The following is a 21,309-nucleotide window of genomic DNA, read 5'->3' as shown; positions in this document are numbered from 1 at the left end:
TGTCTGGACTGCTAATGGAAGAAGATTACATCTAAAACTTTCATAGCTAGAGAGAAGTCAATGCCTGGCTTCAAACCTTCCAAAGACAGGCTGATTCTCTTGTTAGGGGCTAATGCAACTGGTGACTTTATGTTGAAGCAAATGCTGATTGACCATTCCAAAAATACTAGGGCCCTTAAAAATTATGCTAAATGGGACAGGTGCAGTGGCTCACACCTGTAATCCTAGCACTTTGGAAGGCCAAGGTGGGCAGATCACTTGAGGCCAGGAGTTCGAGACTAGCCTGGCCAACACGGCAAAACCGCATCTCTACTAAAAATACAAAAAATTAGCTGGGTGTGGTGGTGCATGCCTCTAACCCCAGCTACTCAGCAGGCTGAGGCATGACTGCTCGAACCCAGAAGGCGGAGGTTGCAGTGACCTGAGATTGCACCACTACACACCAGCCTGGGCGGTAGAGTGAGACTCTGTCTTAAAAAGAAAAAAAAAAAAAAAGGCTAATGTACCCTGCCTGTGCTCTACAATTGGAACAACAAAGCCTGGATGTCAGCAGAGAAAGGTTTATTGAATATTTTAAGCCTACTGTTGAGACATATTGCTCAGAAAAAGAGATTCCTTTCCAAATATTACTGCTCATTGTCAATCCACCTGGTAACCCAAAATCTCTGGTAGAGACGTACAAGGAGATGAATGTTGTTTTCACTCCTGCTAACACAACATTCATTCTGTAACCCATGGATCAAGGAGTAATTTAGACTTTCAAGCCTTATTATTTAAGAAATGTCTTTCATAGGCCTATAGCTGCCACAGACAGTGATTCCTCTGATAAATCTGGGCAAAGTATATTGAAAACCTCCTGGAAAGGAATCACCATTCTCAATGCCATTAAGAACATTCATGATTCATGGAGAGAGGTCAAAATATCAACATTAGCAGGAGTCTGGAAAAAGTTAATTCCAACCCTCAAGGATGACTCTGAGGGGTTTAGGAGTATGATGGAGGAAGAAACTGCAGATGTGGTGGAAAGAGCAAGAGAACTAGAATTAGAAGTGTAGCCTGAAGATGTGACTGAATTGCTGCAACTGCATGATCAAACTTGATCAGGAGTTGCTTCTTATGGATGAGCAGAGAAAGTGATTTCTTGAGATGAAATGTATTTGTAGTGAAGATACAGTGAACACTGTTGAAATGACAAAAAAAAATTTATAATATTACATAAACTTAGTTTATAAAGCAACAGCAAAAGTTCTGTGGGTAAAATGCTATCAAAAAGCACTGCATGCTAGAGACATCTTTGTGAAAGGAAGAGCAAATCCATGAGGCAAACTTCGTTGTTCTTATTTTAAGCAATCGTCACAGTCACCCCAACCATTGGCAACCACCACCCTGATCAGTCAGCAGCCATCAACATGCCATCAACATCCAGGCAAGGCCTTCCACCAGCAAAAGATTAAAACTCTCTGAAGGCTCAGATGATCATTAGCATTTTTCAGCAATAAAGTATTTTTAAACTAAGGTATGTATATTTTTTAGACATAATGCTGTTACAAATTTAATAGACTATAGTATGGTATAAACATAACTTTTATATGCACTAGGAAACTAAAAAAATGTGTGACTAGCTTTATCGCAATGTTCCCTTATTGTGGTGGTCTGGAACCTGTTTGTGTCTTTCTGTATAATGAAGTGACAAATGGGTGGGGGCCCTGGATAGTCTCAAGATCAAGGCTGATTCCAGAGAAACCCTAACCAAGTATACAGAGGGCTGAGACTTTCAGCCTCATTCCCCAACCTCTAAGGAAGGGAGAAAGGCTGAATGTTGAGTCGATCACCAATGGCCAATGATGAACATCAGTCATGCCTACATAATGAAACCTCCACAAAAAAACAGAAGGACGGGGTTTGGAGAGATTCCAAATAGCTGAACACATGGATGCACCTGGAGGGTGGCACACTGGAGAAGGGATGGGAGCTCTGAGCCCCTTCCCACATGTCTTGCCCTATGCATCTTTTCCATCTGCTGTTCGTCGGTATCCTTTGTAATATCCTTTATAATAAATAAGTAAAGTGCTTCCCTGAGTTCTGTGAACTACTCTAGCAAATTAATTGAACCCGACGAGGGACTTGCAAAAAAACACATTTACAGCTGGTCAGTCAAAAGCACAGGTCACCACTGGGGCTTGTAACTGGCATCTGAAGTGGAGACAGTCTTAGGGGACTGAGCCCTCAGCCTGTGGTATGTGACATTATTCCCAGTTTTGAACTGAATTAGAGGACATTCAGATGGTGTTTTCTGGAGATTTGTTTGGTTTGTGGGGAGAAACCCTTACAACATCTGGGGTCACAAGTGTACTGGGTGGTGTGTGAAATGGTAGTCAAAGTTTCTAATACTCAATATTCAAGTTGTTCTAGTATGTCTGAAGTTATCACTCTTAGAAATGGTTTATAATTAGAAAATAATGTACCACAGAATAGAACTCAGAATTCAGTTTCTTTTTCTTTTTTCCCCCGAGACAGAGTCTCGTTCTGTCACCCAAGCTGGAGTGCAGTGGCACACAATCATAGCTCACTGTTGCCTCAACTCCTGGGCTCAAGCATCCTCCCTCCTCAGCCTACCTAGCAGCTGGGACTACAGGTGCACGCCACCACACCTGGCTAATTATTTTTTAAGTTTTATTGTAGAGATGGGGGTCTCACTATGTTGACCTTGTTGGTCTTCAACTCCTGGGATCCTCCTGCCTCAGCCTCCCAAAGTGCTGAGATTACAGGTGTGAGCCACTGTGCCCAGCCTAGTTTCAAATTTGACTGCCACATTTTGGCGTGTGACCTTTGGCAAATTACTCAACCTCCCCAAGGCTTTGGTCTCTTCATTTACAAAATAGCTGGTACAGACAAGAAGTTCATAATAGTTTTCAAGCCCTGGTTCCATGATCTTAACTAGTACCATTCCACTGGGTATTTATGCACTAAATCAATGCTGTTGAGCCCATCAATAATGCTGAAATAATAACAATCCAAGAAAATGAAAACTAAAGTGGCATATTAACTTACTTGCTAAAAACCAGCAGCTTAGAATAATATAGTACTAACTTCCCCAAAGCATTAGAAGTACATAGCATTTACAATTTTCTTTATTTAACCAACCTTTTCGGGGAACATGAGGGAAGGTACACCTAAGCCTTTCATTTATTACCTGAACTAGTCACTCCTTTCACAGGTATTTTTTTCAAGTGCCTGCACTCTGTGCCAGGTACTCACCAAACACCAAGGAAATTAATACTCCATAGAATAGCCATGGTAGGCTCTCACTGAGTTTACCAGTGTAGGGAAGGATTCAGACCAGCACACACCATTCCCATCGTAGCATTTTGTGTTAAAAGTAAAACAGGCAATCAGTATATACACACATATAGATATACACATTATATATATACGCACACACATATATATATATACACACATGTCTATATATACATGGACAACTCTGTAGAAAAGTTTAAAGCAAATGGCTTTTCCTCTTGAACTCCTGAAATACATCTCAATGAGCTATCTTTATTACTTACATCAATACTTCTTTTTGTTTCCATCTCTTTTCATGTTCTTTACCAAATGGCCAAGCATTCCATTCTGACTTTACTTTTATTATAAACACTTATAAGAGTGCAACAGTATAATCACACAGTTATAAGCTCTAATGCTCATTGTCTGTGAGGGCTTGAAACAGTAAGCAAGGTTGAGTGGGGGGCCATTACTGCAGAATTCACAGAAACTCAGAAGCAGGGAAAAAGGGGTTTTGTTAACTGGCTGACAGAATAGCCTAACTGATGAATATATACTAATCTTTTCATACAGATTTATATATCTGCCAGTTGTCAAGACTTCATTCATTGTCCATAGGCAATTAAACTAGTATTACTTAATGACCACATAATCCTAAGTCCAAACATGAGAACCAAAACTTCATGGCAACGTTCATTTGAAAAGATTATCACTCAACTGATTCAAAATATGCACATTTTTTTAAGATTCTCATAAAAAAATTTAATACATCTAAAATTGCTCAAGGAGAACTCACAGACTCCCATGAACATATCTTTAAACACAGTTGACAAGGAATACATTATAATAAGATTTTTAAATAATCAATATTATGAGAACTTTTTGCCCAAATTTCTTGGCTACTAAATCATTGATGAGGAGCAAAAATGAATGAGATCCAGTCAGCTTATGTGAGGGCTTAAAAGACATGAGGCGGAGGGCTCAGAAAACAAGTTTATCAGATACCCTGTGGGTTTGGTATTCATTCCGTAAGTTCCACAAAGCGATTCAGCGTACTGGTCTAACACAGCTAACCACGCACTATTCCTAGATAGCCCCTTCAAGTCAATGGAAAGAAAGGAAGGAAGGAAGGAAGAAAGAGAGAGAGAGAGAGAGAAAGAGACAGACAGACAGACAGACAGACCAAACCTTCCTAAAACACTTTTAATCTTTGGCCATCAAAATCTATTTTTTTAAATCCGCCAATTTTTACAAGAATAGAAATTCAAAACTATCCTGCCTCACAGTATTGCTGGGTAAGACAAACTAGGTAAATAAAATCTTCCTAACAATAATATTTAGATAGTTGGGTCTTTACTAATTAAACCAGCAAAAGAAGAAATGGCAGGAGAAAAAAACCCACAGAAACAGAAACAATATACTTTAAAATGTAAAATCAACACAAAATGTTGATGAAACCCAAAGTGTATCTCATATGGCTAGTGATAGCCTTCCTTCTAATAGATTTCTGTCTTCTAACTCTCCCAGTGATCTGACATACATCCAAAGTTATTTGACCATTCTTATTTAAATCTCATCAAAAGAAAAATTTCAGATTTTTCAAAACTTTTATATACTTTTACACACATTACAGTCTGACTAATTTCCAAACTGGCAGCTTCCCAAAAGTAAATGACAAAGGAAGGTAACATGATGAACTGATATTTTAATTTGCTAAGTAAAAAATGATAATTAACAAGGGGAAACCGCCAGGCGTGGTGGCTCACGCCTATAATCCCAGACCTTTGGGAGGCTGAGGTGGGTGGATCACGAGGTCAGGAGTTCGAGACCAGACTGACCAACATGGTGAAACCCCATCTCTACTAAAAATACAAAAATTAGCTGGGCATGGCGGCGTGCGCCTGTAATCCCAGCTACTCAGGAGCCTGAGGCAGGAGAAACACTTGAATGCAGAAAGCGGAGGCTGCAGTGAGCCAAGATTGCACCACTGCACTCCAGCCTGGGTGACATAGCGAGACTCCGTCTCAAAAATAACAAACAAAGAAAAAAGAAAAACAAGGGAAAATCATGACAACACCTTTAAAAAGTTTAAAAGTTCCTGACATGGAACATAGTGGGTTTGTTTGTTCGTTTTTGAGACAGAGCTTTACTCCTGTTGCCCAGGCTGGAGTGCAGTGGCACAATCTGAAATCTCTGCCTCCCGGGTTCAAGCAATTCTCCTGCCTCAGCCTCCTGAGTAGCTGGGATTACAGGCGCCCGCCACCACGCCCAGCTAATTTTTGTATTTTTTTTAGTAAAGACAGGGTTTCACCATGTTGGCTAGGGTGGTCTCAAACTCCTGACCTCAGACGATCCGCCTGCCTCGGCCTCCCAAAGTGCTGGGATTACAGGCGTGAGCCACCGCGCCCGGCCTGGAATATAGTGTTTTAAGCACAAAAAAATCTGGAAATTTTATTATTACGATGTAAAAGTATAGTAAGTTACTCACATAAAGACTTAGTCCATTTTCAAGGACTTACCTTTTTTTTATCCCTCATTGAGCCTTTGCCTCGGACCATGATTTTACATCCGGTTTCTGCTTCAAGTTGTTTGGCTGTAAGTCCTCTAGGTCCAAGGATTCTCCCAACAAAATTAAACTGAGAAAAAAAAAAAAGGATCACTATACATTATTCACTTGCTGGAACTTACAGCTCTTAAAATATAAAGTATATCTACATTTACTTACTGAAGTTAAATGTCTTTTTAATACTAAGTTGAAATAAAATCTAGAGCCCTTATGAATTTCTTGCTAAGTCTCAGGTCTAATTACAATAGCTCATCGTTTAGCATTATATTTTCACAAGTATTAACACAAACTATGAACTGGGAACAGTATACAGCTAGAACAGATACAACTGTCCATCAACAAATAACCTAAAACAGAGAGTATTAAAGAGTTTGACAAAATATTAGATGCCAGCCAAGAATACAAGTCCCTTCCACAAAATGTCCAACTGTCTCTTTGTCATGACAGTGTTGAAGAAATTGTTAGGCACTGCCCTTTCTACCAAAATCCTTTGGGGAAAGTCCTCTTTTATTTACCTAAGAAAAATTATACTTTCTCCAAAGCAACTGTTCAGAAATATGTTACGAAAACTATGGGTTGGCTACACTAAATGTGTCTTAAGAGTACATATTCCTTTCTACCTTTAACTTATAAGAAACCTAAACTCTGAATATCACTAAATAGGCCAGTGATATCAATAATTGTATAAATTAAAAACTGTACAATAAAAAAATAAAAAATTACCATCCCTCAACAGAAATTCCTAATATTCATATATACAAGTTATTTCTTTAAAGCCAATAGGAAAAACGGGCTAAATCGTGAAAAGTAAATTTTCCTCATTTGCATGTTATCTGCATAAAGGCCAAAATATAAGAGTTTGCTATCAGTTCCACAAAATTCCACAGGTGGTTTTCATTTACTTATTCAATCAAATAGGTACTGATTCTTATGCATATGGTCTTCTACTTTTTTCTTGCATTTATCCAACTTTTAGTATATCATTACATAAAAGTAACGTGCTAGAAAATCCACTGCCATCAGGGCTTAAGAAGCTGGGTACTTCTGGTATCATCTGTACTCCACTGGCTCTTATTTTGCATTGTCACACCTTAGAAAAGTGATTCTCAAATGAAAGGTGGTAGGTAGTACGCCTGTATCATTCGAAGAAAGTCTCCGAGGGGATTTTCATACATCTTATTTCACCCTCTGTTGAGACTCACAGACTCATCTATAAGCACTTAATTTAGCTCTTCAAGATCCTAGATTCTGAAATCTGCTAATAGCTCTTTATATTCAGATAAAGTCCCTTATCTTTGCCCAGTGCTTCAGTATATAGTAATTTTACCTCTTTACCCAACCTAAACCCCCACCATGATCCATTTTAACAAAGTACTTCCAATTTAGAAACTCATCAACTTAACCTTCCTACATCTCCAATTTAAATAAACTCAAGTAGTATACTACGGTTATGTGCTTAAACTCTGAGAGCACACAGATTCTAGCTGGTATCCAAGCTCAAATATGAAAACAGTAATCAGGAATCTGAATATTGGCCAGGCGCAGTGGCTCACACCTGTAATCCCAACACTTTGGGAGGCCAAGACGGGGTGGATCACTTGAGGACAGGCGTTCAAGACGAGCCTGGCCAACATGGTGAAACCCCATCTCTACTAAAAATACAAAACTTAGCCAGGCTTGGTGGTGCATGCTTGTAATTCCAGCTACCTGGGTGGCCGAGGCATGAGAATCAGTTGAACCCAGGAGGTGGAGGTTGCCGTGAGCTGAAATCATGCCTCTGCACTACAGCCTGGGCAATAAAGCGAGACTCTGTCTCAAAAAAAAAAAAACAAAACAAAACAAAACAAAAAAAGGAATCTGAAAATCACATCAAATAAGCCTCAATTACAGAATGGGGATAATACTATCTGACAGAGCTATAGTGATGATGGCATGTACAGATATGTATGTGTATAGCACAATACATACACAAGGTCCAGTAAAAAGTTTGCCATACAGTCACAATAGCCTACCAAGTCTAATACAAATCCTTTGCTTAAAACCTCAGGCTCTTACTCTTAATTAAGCTTGGAATGTCATTTCTAGAAGGAGATGTGATCAGCAGCAAACTTGCCCTACAGAACTCCAGAGAGACTGGACACTCACACACTGAGTTTTGCAGAAAACAAGAATGAAAAGGTGGAACTAATACACAGAACAAGCGACCATCACTGCCCACAGAACAGCAAAGGCCAGGCTTCTGACTTGTAGGTAATGGGCTAGTTTTTTCTCTAGAAAAATTGAAATAACCCACGAAAAGAATTCTGTGTTCCATTATATGACTTCCATCTCAAAGACTAGCACTTTAGGGGGTCACCCCAAATTAAGGTTGGCAGCGGACAGCTCTGTTCATGAACACAAGCTCCTAATTCAGATTTTCATTGTTTCACACTTAAACAATGTTCACCAAAGGTTCAAGAAGGGCTCTATCATGAGAGAGACAGGACAAGATAAAGAAGCAGGACAAGAGACTGACCCTTGAGAAAAAAAAGACTACAGGACAAAGAAGATGATTTAAAAAAAAAAAAAAAAACTTTAGTACATAGTGTTAAATTATTTTCTAAAATGGTTGTACATATTTTTATCCTCCGTATAGTATAAAAATTTATTTTGATCCACTTCCTCTCCAATATTTATTATCAGTGTTTTTATATTTTAACCATTCTAGTGTATGTATTAAATGTTTCAATTAGCATTCCTCTGACTACTAATGAAGCTAAGCATTTTTTTCACATTTGTTGGCCATTTGGATATGCATTTTTTGAAGGACATTTGAAGTTTCCTGTGTTTTTCTATTGTGTTACCTTTTCCTTATTGATTTCTACTTTGTGGTTACACAACTGACAAGTATTTTTCCCATCCTGTGGCTCGTCTTCTCCCTCTTTAATGGTGTCTTATGATGACTGAAAGTTTTTAATTTTAACACAGTTCAAATTTTCAACCTTATCTTCATGGTTAGTGTTTTCTGTGTCCTGTTTAAAAGAAGTCTCTCCCCACCCTAAGGTCACCAAGATACCTTCTGGTGTTATCTTCTAGAAGCTTTATTGTTAAGTCTTTCGAATTTACATCTACAGTGTACCAGGAATTGATGTCTGTGTTATAATTTTCTTTTCTTCTCTCACATGAATATCCAAATGTTATTAAATATACGAATGTCACTGAATAGAAATGTTATTGAAAAGACTACTCTTTTCCAATTGCTCCAGTGTCATCACTGTCATAAATATTTATCTACACAATCGTCCCTTGGTATCTGGGGTGGGGGGGATTGGTTACAGGTCCCCACACAAACACCAAAATTCACAGATGCTCAAGTCCCTTATATAAAACGGTGTCATATTTGCACATAACCTATGCACAACCTCCAATATAATTTATATCATCTTTAGATTACTTAAAATACCTAATACAATGTAAATACTGTGTAAATCACTGTTATGCTGCATTGCTTAGGAAATAATGACAAGAAAAAATTTGTATATTTCAGTACAAATGCAACCATTTTAAATATTTCCCCTAAAAGTTTTGATCCTAGGTTGGTTGAATCCACAGATGTGGAACCTGAGGATACAAACAGCTGACAGTACTTAGGTCTGTTTTGGAGCTCTCTAGTCTATTCCATTTATTTATCTTTACTTTAACATCATACTGTATTAATTATGGTAAATTATATGGTACACCAAGTTCTTCTCTCTTGCTCTTCCTCAAGAGTGGCTTAGCTATTCCTGGCCCTTTCCATTTCCACATATTTTAGAATAAGTCCATCAATTTCTAAAATAATACTTGCAAGAATTTTCACTGAGATCACATTATAATATAGACTCTTCAAAAACCATAAACATGGTAAAATTTCTCCATTTGGTTAAGTTATCTCTCATCTCTCTCAATAACGTCAAGTTTATTTTTGTTTAGGCTAAAGTGCAAGTGGCACAATCATAGAGCACTGTAGCCTTGAATTCTTGGCCTCAAGCAATCCTCCCACCTCAGCCTCACCATGCCTGGCTTTTTTTTTTTTTTTTTTTTAACTTTTTTGTAGACATCAGGTCTCACTACGTTGCCCAGGCTGATCTCAAAATTCCTGGACTCAAGCCATCCTCACCCCCACTCCACCCCAGTGCCTAAGCCTCCCAAAGAGCTAGGATTACAGGCTGGAGACACCATGTCTAGCCTCAAAAATGTAGAGCTTTTTTGATTGTGCCTTTACTTGTTTTTACTTTTGTTGTTGTTAAGATTCATTCCTACAAATTTACAGGGCTTTTTCTGCTACCGTATATCATAATTTTAAGTTTTCATTTTCTGTTTCTGGTATATGAACATATAATTGGGTTTTTTTCTATCAACCTTACAACCAGCATTTCTTCATTACTGACTCTCATAAATCTTTTGTAGATTCTTTTGGATGCTAAACAATCACATCACCTGGAAATAATGACAGTTCTCTATTTTCCTTTCCTATCATATATTTTTATTTCTTTTTCTTGCTATCCTTACAGTACTGGTCAGCATACCTTGAGTTCAAAGCCAAATAAAAGTGTGTCATCCTTGACTTGTTCCAAATTTCAAGAATAAAGGTTTCAACAGTCCACCATAAAGTTTAATCTTAAACTTTTTGAAGATACACTTTATCACATTAAAATTCCCTTCTATTTCTTAGTTTGCTAAGAGTTCCCAACTACAAGTGGATATCTAAATTTATCATTTTTCACTATCTATTAAAACAACATTTCTCCTTAATTCTGTTATTGCAGTGGATTTCAACTGCAAATGTTAACCAACTTCAACTTCAAATTTAATTTCAAATTCAATTTCAACTTCAAATGTTAAACCAATTTAATGCAAAATCAACTTGAGCAAATTGTTTCCTGGCATTCTGGTGATTTTTTTTTTTAAGAAATGTCCATTCATAAATAGAACTGGCCCACAATTTTTCTTTCTCATAATACACGTCTCAGGTTTTGGTATCAAGGTTATTCTGGTAGCAAAACATGTTGGAATGTATTCCTCCTTTTTCCACTCTCCAGATAGGCTTGTATATGGCTGTTATTTCTTCCTTAAATAATGAATAAAATTCACTGGTGAAGCTACCTGAGCCTAGAGATTTCACTACAGAAAGTTTTAAATTATGGATTCAGACTTTCTATTCCTTCGTATGTCAATTTTTAAGTTGTATCCATTTTGTCTAAATTTTCAAATTTGTTGATTTAAAATAGATGCCTAATTTATTTTTAATACCAATAAGATCTGAAACGATGTCTCATTTTTTTATTCTTGACTGGTTACCTGTATCTTCCTTTCTCTTGATCTGTCTTCAAAAGTGTTTTAAAAGAACCTGCTTTTGTTGACTGAGGTAGACTGATTTCAAAAATGACCATAATTCTCTGCCCCTCATTGTGTCCATGCCATCTGCAAAGGGAATCTGCATCTCCTCCCACCTCCTGAATCTAGGCTAGCATTGTGACTTGCTTTGGCCAATACAACGTAGTGGTGAGAATGATATGCCTCAGTGTTAGTCTTACGTGGTTCTACTCTCTTAGAGCCCCTTTCCCCCATGTAAACAAGCTTGGACTAAAACTTGTTGGGGAATGAAAGACAGTGACCCAGTCATCATCAATATCTGCAACCACGCAACTCCCAGAAGTAGAACTACCTGACTGACCTTACAGCTGACTGGAAGAAGGACTAAGGAGCTCAACAAGTGGTTTACTTAAGATTTTGGAGTAGTTTATTATAATGTAGAGATAGCTAGCTGATATATTGAATTACTTCATTTTGTGTTTGTCTTTAATTGATTTCTACTCTTCATTTATTTCCTTCCTTCTACTTCCTTCGTTTAATCTGCTGTTCTTTTTCCCTTCCTTCGTTTAATCTGCTGTTCTTTTTCCAATTTTTTGAAATGAATATTTTGCTTATTGTATTCCTTCTTTTCTAACATATACATCTAAAGCTTTACATATACCTCTAAGCTGGTTTTAGTTGTATCCCACAAATTCAGATAGGGAGCAGTTTCATTTTCATTCAAAGTCAAGGTAATTTGACATCTACTAAATATTTAAATATATTATGCTCATTTCAACATATAATTTCCTGTAGTTTTGATTTTTAGCTTCCTACAGTGTAATCAGCAAACATGTTATATGTAATAGCCATCCTTAATATTTGTTCAAACTTGCTTTTCAGCATAGCATATGGTCAATTTTTGTAAATATTCCATAGGTGCTTAAAAAGAATGCAAAGTCTGGTGTGATTAAATTTTACCTGTTTCGCCTTTTACTTCTATTTTTGCTGTATATGTGTAAAGGCAATTACAACCAACCCTTAAACAATAGGTCTGAACTATGTGGGTCTACTTACAGAACATTTTTCCACAAATATTACACCAAGTATGACACCCCTCCCACCTCCATCACCTCCTTCTGCCTCTGCCACCCTTGAGACAGTAAGACCAAACCTGAATCTTCCTCCTCTTCCTCAGCCTACTCCATGTAAAGACCACCAGGATGAAGACCTTTATGATCTACTTCCACTTAATGAATAATAAACGTATTTTTTCTTCCTTATGATTTCTTTAAAACATTTTCTTCTCAATGGCTTATTTTATTGTAAGAATACAGTGTTAATACATGTAACATACAAAATGTGTTGATCAACTGTTTATGTTATCGGTAAGGCTTCCAGTCGACAGTAGGCTATCAGTAGTTACGTTTGGAGGTAGTTAAAAGTTATACGTGGATTTTTTACCGCAAAGGGAGTCAGTGCCCCTCAGCCCCATGTTGTTTAAGGGTCAAGTGTATATCTTTCTGTCATTATGAAGTGGCCTTCTTTATTATCTCTAGAGATGCCTTTTGCCATTAAGCTTACACTGATACTAATATAGATAGAATTTATTTTCTTATGTGTCTTTTCTTGATCCAATCTATTACCTTCAAACTTTTGTTATCCTTATTTTAAACAGGACTCCTGTAAAAATCATCTAAATGAGTTGTTTCTTCATTGAATTTTAACAGGAACAGCCAATTTATACTACATGGTTTACTAAATCTTTTTACTAAGTGTTTTCTATGTCCTCTACTTATTTTCTTTTCTTTCTTGCCTCTTTTTCCTGGATGTGGGCGGACGAAGAAAATATGAACGTATTTTCTTCGTTCTCTTCTTCTATTAGTTTGGAAGTTATATGCTTGTTCACCCTAGTATTTACAACATGCTTCCTTGACTTATCAAACATTAATGTTCATTTGTACTTTTACCCTTTTCCCATACAAATACAAGGACCTCAGAAAGTGTAATATTTATCCTCAATCCAGTTTATATGCCTTTGTTTTTCAAATTCTGTATCTTTTAAACTCAACAGGCCATTATTTTCACTTTGTACAAATATGCATTTAGGTTTATCAACAATTTTACCATTTTTGTTGCTCTTTATTCCTTTATGCATCTTCAACTTTTCAAATAATCATCATTCTTCTGCCTGAAAAACAACCTTCAGCATTTCCTTTAGTGAACGTCTTCTAGTAATGAACTCTCTCCATTTTTCCTTATCTGAAAATGTCTTATTTTTGAAGGGCACCTTAAAGATTCTTTATACACCATCTCCTGGATTCATTCCACTGTTACTAATGGAAGTGAACTAAGTCTTCCCGCTGCTCCTTTGAAGGTGATCTTTTCTCTCTTCTAGCTGCTTTAAGATTTTCTCATCATTACTTTTCAGTTGTTTTATTATCACTTGCCAAGGTGTGGTCTCCTTTATCATGTTTATCAGTAAGTATGATAAATATAAAGAAAACCACAATTTCACAAATCTGTGACTTTATTTCTTTCTTTGGTTTTATAGTTCTGAAACACACTTCCCTCAAACTCTGCTTCTGTCCCATTCCACCTCTCCTCTTCTTCTAATACTACAACTACATATATTAAATTTTCTCACTATATTCCTTTTACTTTTCACATTCCCTTCTACTTTTTTCCATCCCTCTGCATCTCCATGCTGAAAATTTTCTTCTGAGCTATCTTCCAGTTTACTAATTCTCTCTTCAAATGCTTCTAATCTTCTGTTAAACCCACCTGTTAATAGTAGGTAAATAATTTTCTGGCTTAGTTTTTCTTTTATAGCTTCCATTTCTCTTCCTTTTCTTCTGTCTCCTTCCACATTGAAAACTTACAGATCTTATAAAGTCTGGGTCTGAAATTCTAAAATCTAGAGTATGTGGATTTTGTATTGTTTTTCAGACTGTTTCTTCAGATTTTTGTTAATGTCATCTTGTCTCCTTGTGTGCTTATTTTCTAGTGTGTGTCAGACAATACACTTAACTAAATAGCTTATAAAAATAATATAAGGCCAAAGACAATAATATCTTCCTCCAGGAAAGATACATATCAGCTTCTGCCAGGCACCTACTATTACTAGCAACCCAGGATCAATGCAATTTCACTTACTGAGATAGACAATTTTGAGCTGAGATACTGTCTCTGTGAGGACCTGCAACCTCCTAGTTCATTCTTACTCCTAAAGTACGTATCCATCAGTGTCCCTACCCCCAAGCGAAGACTAGGCTGGGCATGGCAAGGGAGGTTCACATAGACAAATTATAGACTCCAAACGCTATCCCCCAAAGCTCAGCCTTTCGTCTGTCCTCTCCAGATTCTGCAAACGTGCTCAGCAGAAAAAGAGATCCCCCAAAACACGGTTATATCCTTGATCATCTCACCTCCTGAAGACCATGAACTAGTAATTCTTCACAATCTTGCTGATTCACAATCTCTGATGTGTTCAGTTATTTTTTTTCCTATTGTATCCTATTTTCCTGGAATTGCTCAGCTGGCCTGCATTATCTTGTCAGTCCTTAACAAACACAAGTCTACTGGCACTTTTTGAGCAGTTGCTTTTTAATCTAAAGAGGTCTAGAATTGACATAAGGTAGTATGGTGTAACAATGTTGAAATGAGGATCTGAATAAAAAAGAAACATAACAGAAAATCTATCAACATGCCTGGCCTTATGTTCATCTCCAATAAGCTCTTCCTACTTTTTTCTACAACATCATCACTTAACCAGTTTATGTAAGTCACAGATTACATTAAATTTCACTTCCCCACTCCTCCAACCTGGACAGAGATAATAATCTTTACATGCTATCACTCACCCACTGTTTTTCAGTAAAACAGAGAACAGCCTTTCATTTTCAAATTCAACAAAACATTTACTTAAGGCTTATTATGTGGCAAGGAGTGAAGTAAATGTGAAGGATTGAGAATAACGAAACTCTGCTCTCAAGAAGTCTGTGAAAATGCCTCTACTATATTTGTTACCTTGGCTATTTCTTTAAGTAACCTTGCCAGCTACTCTTCAATAATAGTTGTACTCTATACAGATCTTTTCCCAAATTGTCACTAACTAGATACACATTATATACTTCACATATGGCCCAAAAATGTCTGGAAAAATGCATTATGAACAGAGATACTTTAGTACAAATCACTAATATGTAATTGGTTTTGACCCGTACCCTTTGTGAAACCAGCTGCCCTACACTCTGTGACCACATATAGAGCCTTGTTTGGCATACCCCATGCTTTTCAAGTATTAACCCTCCTTGGCTGGAACCACATCAAGATTACATAGAAAAGGGCTTCTACCACAGCTAATTAATCCTCACAATTATGATTTACTAAATTAAAAATATTTGTAAAGCAGTTAAAATCACATTAAATCTTACTAACCTTACTAATCTTACTAACCTTAAAAAATTTTACTAACCTTAAAAAATGAAACAATCACTATTGCCCCAAGAAGCCACAAACAGCTCAAGGATGTTAAGGTGCAAGCCATCAGGACTCTAGTACAGCTGAAATTGTCGAGGTCATCCTTCTCAAAATGTTGTAAGTAGAGAATGAAGAAAAAAAAAAAACTAATCACAGCAGCTGCTTTGTCTACTGCAACCAATTTCCAGGTTAATATCGTTTGCCTTGCATTAAAATTCATTCTGTGTTGATTTATCACGCCAGTTCTGCAGCTTCATTCAATTAAAACAATGTCACAACACTTTCAAAGAAAATCATTTCAAACAGCCTGAGCTAAGTGCAACTTTAAAGGCCAAAAGAAGGGAAAGAAAAAGGGGAAAAAAAGATATTCATTAACCCTACTGTTTAAATACAGACCTTCTCTGTGGCTCACCAATTATATTTCTGCCAAGTGGCATGTTAATTTACAAAGAAGAGGTTTAACAACAATTATGTCTAATGCTGTTCATTGCTGCTCACACTTCATTTTAAATGGAAATGATAGATTTTTCCCAATGACAAAATGTAAAGCATTATAGAAAACCCTTCCATTAACCTTTTTAAAATTCCCTAATTAAAGATAAACTCCTGCAACACATTATCACAATAGATAATAAAAAATGGATTTCGAAAAGCACCTCAAGTGAAACACTTCTAAGAACTGATAAAGTGTAATCTGTGCCTAAAATTTGGGGACAAGGGGAGAGACCAAGTTTTCATTTAAAAAATGCACTTTTTTGGATTGCTTTTTGCACAACAGATTGATAATGTTTTTAAATATTGTGTCTAGTTATTTCTAGGGTGATTTTAGTTAGATGCCTTACAAATCTTTCATTATATCACATAAGCAACACAGTGGGTATGAAACAAATACATTCACAGAAGCGTATATGTATATTTTCTGAAGTCTTTCACTTAGCAGAAGACAAAAAACGGACCACACCCAATCTAGTCAACACTAGTGGGCCTATCTTATACAAGTATGTAAGATGAGAGAAGAGTTGTGTCTATATATTAACAGCACAACTGTTTTTAATTAAAAATACAGAATGAATACAGATGATCCTTGACTTACAATGGAGTTAAGTCCCAATAAACCCACCACTGAGTTGAAAGTGCAGTTTTAAATTTACGATATTTTCAGTTGCAATGGTTTTATCTGGAGATGGCCCCATCATAAATTGAGAAGCATACTGAAAACATATCCTTTCAAACCATTGTAAACAATCCTAAGTCAGACCATTGTAAGTTGGAGACTATATACCAAAATGTCTTGTGTTTTGAGGGAAAACGAGCATCTTATGCCTTGTTACCTTCATATTAATTCTTATAAATTAATAAGTGGCTAAATACATCTCCTGGAGAAATAGCTAATTTATAAAATATAATTAACATTACAGGAAACATTTGGCAAAACCTTTCACATATTAGGCCTTTATAAACATTTTTGTTCATAGCACACATGGCACATGTTACGTACAAGTGCTGTGTAAGAAAAGGTTTCTTACAAGGCTATGTAAAAACAAAACAAAAATTTAAAGCTGCATACTTCCATGTTGAAATAGAAAGTGGAAATAGTAACTGTTTTGTTTTTTATTACTGACTTTGTCCTTTGGGATTTATCCTGAGAACAGCCAGTCAGGCTTATTATATGAGAAAGTTCTAAACATATGAGTTCCTGTGCTGCATACAACTTACAATTTAGTGACTGAATCCCTCCCTCCAGCTTTACTGAGATATAATGAACAAGGTTTAACTTGTGATGATTTAATACAAGGTATACATTGTGAAATGGTTACCACAATCAAGCTAATTAACACATCCATCACCCACACAGCTACTGTGCCCACGCATGTACACGCACGTGTGTGTGTGTGTGTGTGATGTTAAGCACCTTTTCATAAGCCTTTTGGACATCTGTATATTCTCTTTTGAAAAAATGTCTAAAAGTTATTTGCCTATTTTTAAATTGGGTGATGTCATTTTTTTTTTTTTTTTGCTGTTTTGTTGTTTTGGGCTGAGTTAATATTCTGGTATCTTTTGGATATTAAACCCTTAGCAGACATAAGGTTTGCAGATATTTCCTCCCATTCTGTAGGTTGCCTTTTCATTTTGTTGATTGTTTCTTTGCTGTGCAGAAGCATGTCAGCTTGATGTAGTCCTGTTTATTTTTGCTTTTGTTGCTTGTGTTTTTTGGGTGTAATATCTAGAAAAATCATTACCAAGACCAGTATCAAATACCTTTATAATTCAGTGTTTTTTCCTACATGTTTTATAGTTTCAGGGAATTCATTTAGGTCTTTAATCCATTTTGACTAAATTTTTATGTACGGTGTAAGTAAGGGTCCACTTTCATCTTTGGAATGTCAATATCCAGTTTTCCCAGCACCAACTGTTGAAGAGACGATTCTTTCTCCATTGTGTAGTCATGGTACCCTTGTCAAAGATTAGTTGACTCTATATTCATAGGTTTATTTCTGAGATTCTGTTCTGTTTCATTGGTCTATGTGTCTGTTTTTATGCCAGAAGCAAATTGTTTTAATATAATTTGAAATCAGGAACTGCAATGTCTTCAGCTTTGTTCTCAAGACTGTTTTGGCGATTAGGTGCTTTCTGTGGTTCCACGTGAATTTTAGGATTGTTTTTTCCTATTTCTGTGAAAAATGCCAATGGAATTTTGACAGGAATTGTACTGGATCTATAGATTGCTTTGGGAAGTATGGAAATTTTAACAATAATCTTCCAATCTACGAACATGGAATATTTTTCCATTTATTTGCATCTTTAATTTATTTGATCAGTGTTATACTTTTCAGCGAGCAGGCATCTTTTACCTCCTGGGTATTATTTCTAATTATATTATTCTTTCCGATGCTATTGTAAATGAGATAGCCCTTTTTTTTTTTTTTGAGATGGAGTTTCGCTCTTGTCACCCAGGCTGGAGTGCAGTGATGTGATCTCGGCTCACTGCAGCCTCCGTCTCTCCCAGGCTCAAGCAATTCTCCTGCCTCAGCTTTCCAAGTAGCTGGGATTACAGCCTGCACCACCACACCCAGTTGTTTTTTTTGTATTTTTTGTAGAGACAGGGTTTCACCATGTTGGCCAGGCTGGTCTCAAACTCCTGACCTCAGGTGATCCGCCCGCTTCGGCCTCCCAAAGTTCTGGGATTACAGGTGTTAACCACCATACCTGACCTCTTAATCTCTTTTTTGAATAGTTTGTTGTTAGTGTATAGACAGAAAACTGATTTTTGTATGTTGATTTTTGTATCCCAGAACTTGACTAAGTGAACAGATTTCTTGATGAAGTCTTGGGTTTTTCTACATACAAGATTATGCCACTGCAAATAAAGATAATTTTATTTCTTCCTTTATGATTTAGGTGTCTTTTACTTTTTTTTTTTTTTTTTTGAGACAGTCTTGCTCTGTTGCCCAGGCTGGAGTGCAATGGTGCAATCTCAGCTCACTGCGACCTCCACCTCTTGGGCTCAAGTGATTCTCCTGCCTCAGCCTCCCGAGCAAGCTGGGATTACAGGCATGCATCACCATGCCTGGTGAATTTTTGTATTTTTTAGTAGAGACAGGGTTTCATGTTGGCCAGGCTGGTCTCCAACTCTTGACCTCAAGTGATCCGCCCACCTCAGCCTCCCAAAGTGCTGGGAATCAGAGCCATGAGCCACCACTCCTGGCTGCCTTTATTTCTTTTTCTTGGCCTAACTGTTCTGGCTAGAACTTACCATATTTAATGGAAGTAGCAAGGGTCTTCTTCCTGACCTCAGAGGAAAAGCTTTCAGCTTTTCACCATTAAGTATGATGTCAGCTGTGGGCCTGTCACACATAGCCTTTATTATGTTGTGGCATACTGTTCTATACCTTACTTGTTGAGAATTTTCATTGTGAAAGGATGTTACATTTTGTCAAATGCCTTTTTTGCATCTTTTAAGATGATCTTATGGTTTTTATTTTTCATTCTGTTAATTTGGTGTAGCTCAGTTAATGATTTGCATATGTTGAACCATTTTTACATTCAGAGGAAAAATCTCACTTGATCATGGTGTACGCTCCTTTTAATGTGCTATTCAATTCAGTTTGCTAGTATTTTGTTGAGGATTTTTGCAACTGTTCATCAAGGATATTGGCCTGTAACTTTATTTTCTTACAATGTCCTTATCTGGCTTTGGTTAAGGGTAATGCTGGCCTCATAAAATGAATCTGGGAAGTGTTCTCTCCTGCTCAGTTTTTTGGAAGTTTGAGAAGGGTTGGTGGTAATTCGTCTTTAGATGTTCAGAGGAATTTGCCCGTGAAGCTGTCTGCTCTTGGGCTTCTATTTGTTGGGAGGTTTTGACTTAGTGATTCAATCTCCTCACTCATTATAGGTCTGTTCAGACTTTCTGTTCCTTCATGATGTGGTCCTGATAGGTTGTATGTTTTAGGAATTTATCCATTTCTTCTAGTTTGTTCAATTTTTTGGCATATATTTACTCAGAGTAGTCTTTTATGATCTTATTATTTCTATGGTATCAGTTGTAATGTCTCCTTCATGTATTTTGACTTTTTTTTCTCTTGGTTAGTCCAACTAAAGGTCTGTCAATTTTGTTTACCTTTTCAAAAACCAACTCTGTTTTGTTGAACTTTTCTGTTGTATTCCTGGCCTCTATTTCATTTATTTCTGCTCTGATCTTTATTATTTCATTCCTTCTGTTTAAGACTCTGGCATCCACTATTTCCAGGTAGTTTCCCACCCATTAAAAAAAAAAAATCCCAGGAAATTTTTACTGCGAGAATGAAAAATCACTATGTAATTTCACTACATAGTTTCTTCTATGGGCTATGTATTGCGCGAGATATCATAGATTTCTAAAAAATAAAAGACTAAGAGCGAGTTCCTGACTTCAGAGAATGACCTGCAAGAATCAGGCAGATCACTGCATACCATGTGATAACAGCTTAAGAGGTGGGTACAAAGTACTCTAAGGGGAAACAACTGTCTGTAGGAGTCAAAGCACATACAAATAGCAAAAGGAGCACTACAGCTCAATATTGTGGGATGAGGGGGAGCTGAGCATGTTTGGTGGGAAGGAAGAAATAAGAAAAGAAGTGTTACAGGGAAGAAAAATTAAAAGTACCTGCCATTTTTACAGAAGAGTGAATTGCTTAGGTGGCTAGAAAACATGGGTAGCAGCAAAATAAAGGCTTGGAAAGTAGTTTGGGATCTTTCAAAAGGCCTTGTGCATTGGATCTCATACTCTCACAAATACTGTCTTCTGCTCTTGTCATAAAACACTTGTTGACCTTTATTGCCTTCGTATTTTTATTAATTGGTTAAATAATCTTTTTTCTAATTGTTACTTAGCATCTAGAGTGATAATCTATCTTCCTCACGTGAATTTGTTTTGAATGGTTTCAGCTTATTATCCAGTTATATCAGTACTCAAAGAATGATACACCGTAATTTAGGATATCCTAATTCGCATACCACAGATTTCAAATTTTGGTTATAACTGGTTATTAATTTTTCCCCTTTGCTGCTGGTGTCAAATCGAAGTATCACGAGTGCAAGGACTACGTTATTCAACATTTCTTTGGTGTTGAGTATGCTGCAGTATGTTTTGAGTGTTCAAGTATGAGCCAACTTCTGGGCTGGGTATTTTA

At 36.8% G+C, this 21,309-nt stretch overlaps 1 protein-coding gene across 9 annotated transcripts in view; it reads right to left on the bottom strand.

Moving 5' to 3' along the window:
- Positions 1 to 21,309, bottom strand: part of QKI (QKI, KH domain containing RNA binding) — a 163,875-nt gene that overhangs the window by 93,898 nt on the left and 48,668 nt on the right. For all 9 annotated transcript variants that reach the window (NM_206855.3, NM_206854.3, NM_206853.3 and 6 more), the window contains exon 3: positions 5,799 to 5,915. In NM_206855.3, the coding sequence (NP_996737.1) occupies positions 5,799 to 5,915 (117 nt within the window). The remainder of the gene's footprint in view (positions 1 to 5,798; positions 5,916 to 21,309) is intronic.

This window comes from Homo sapiens, chromosome 6, assembly GCF_000001405.40.
Source record: "Homo sapiens chromosome 6, GRCh38.p14 Primary Assembly".
NCBI lineage: Eukaryota > Metazoa > Chordata > Mammalia > Primates > Hominidae > Homo > Homo sapiens.
Note: the sequence above shows the minus strand (reverse complement) of the source record. Positions and strands in the feature narration are given on the sequence as shown.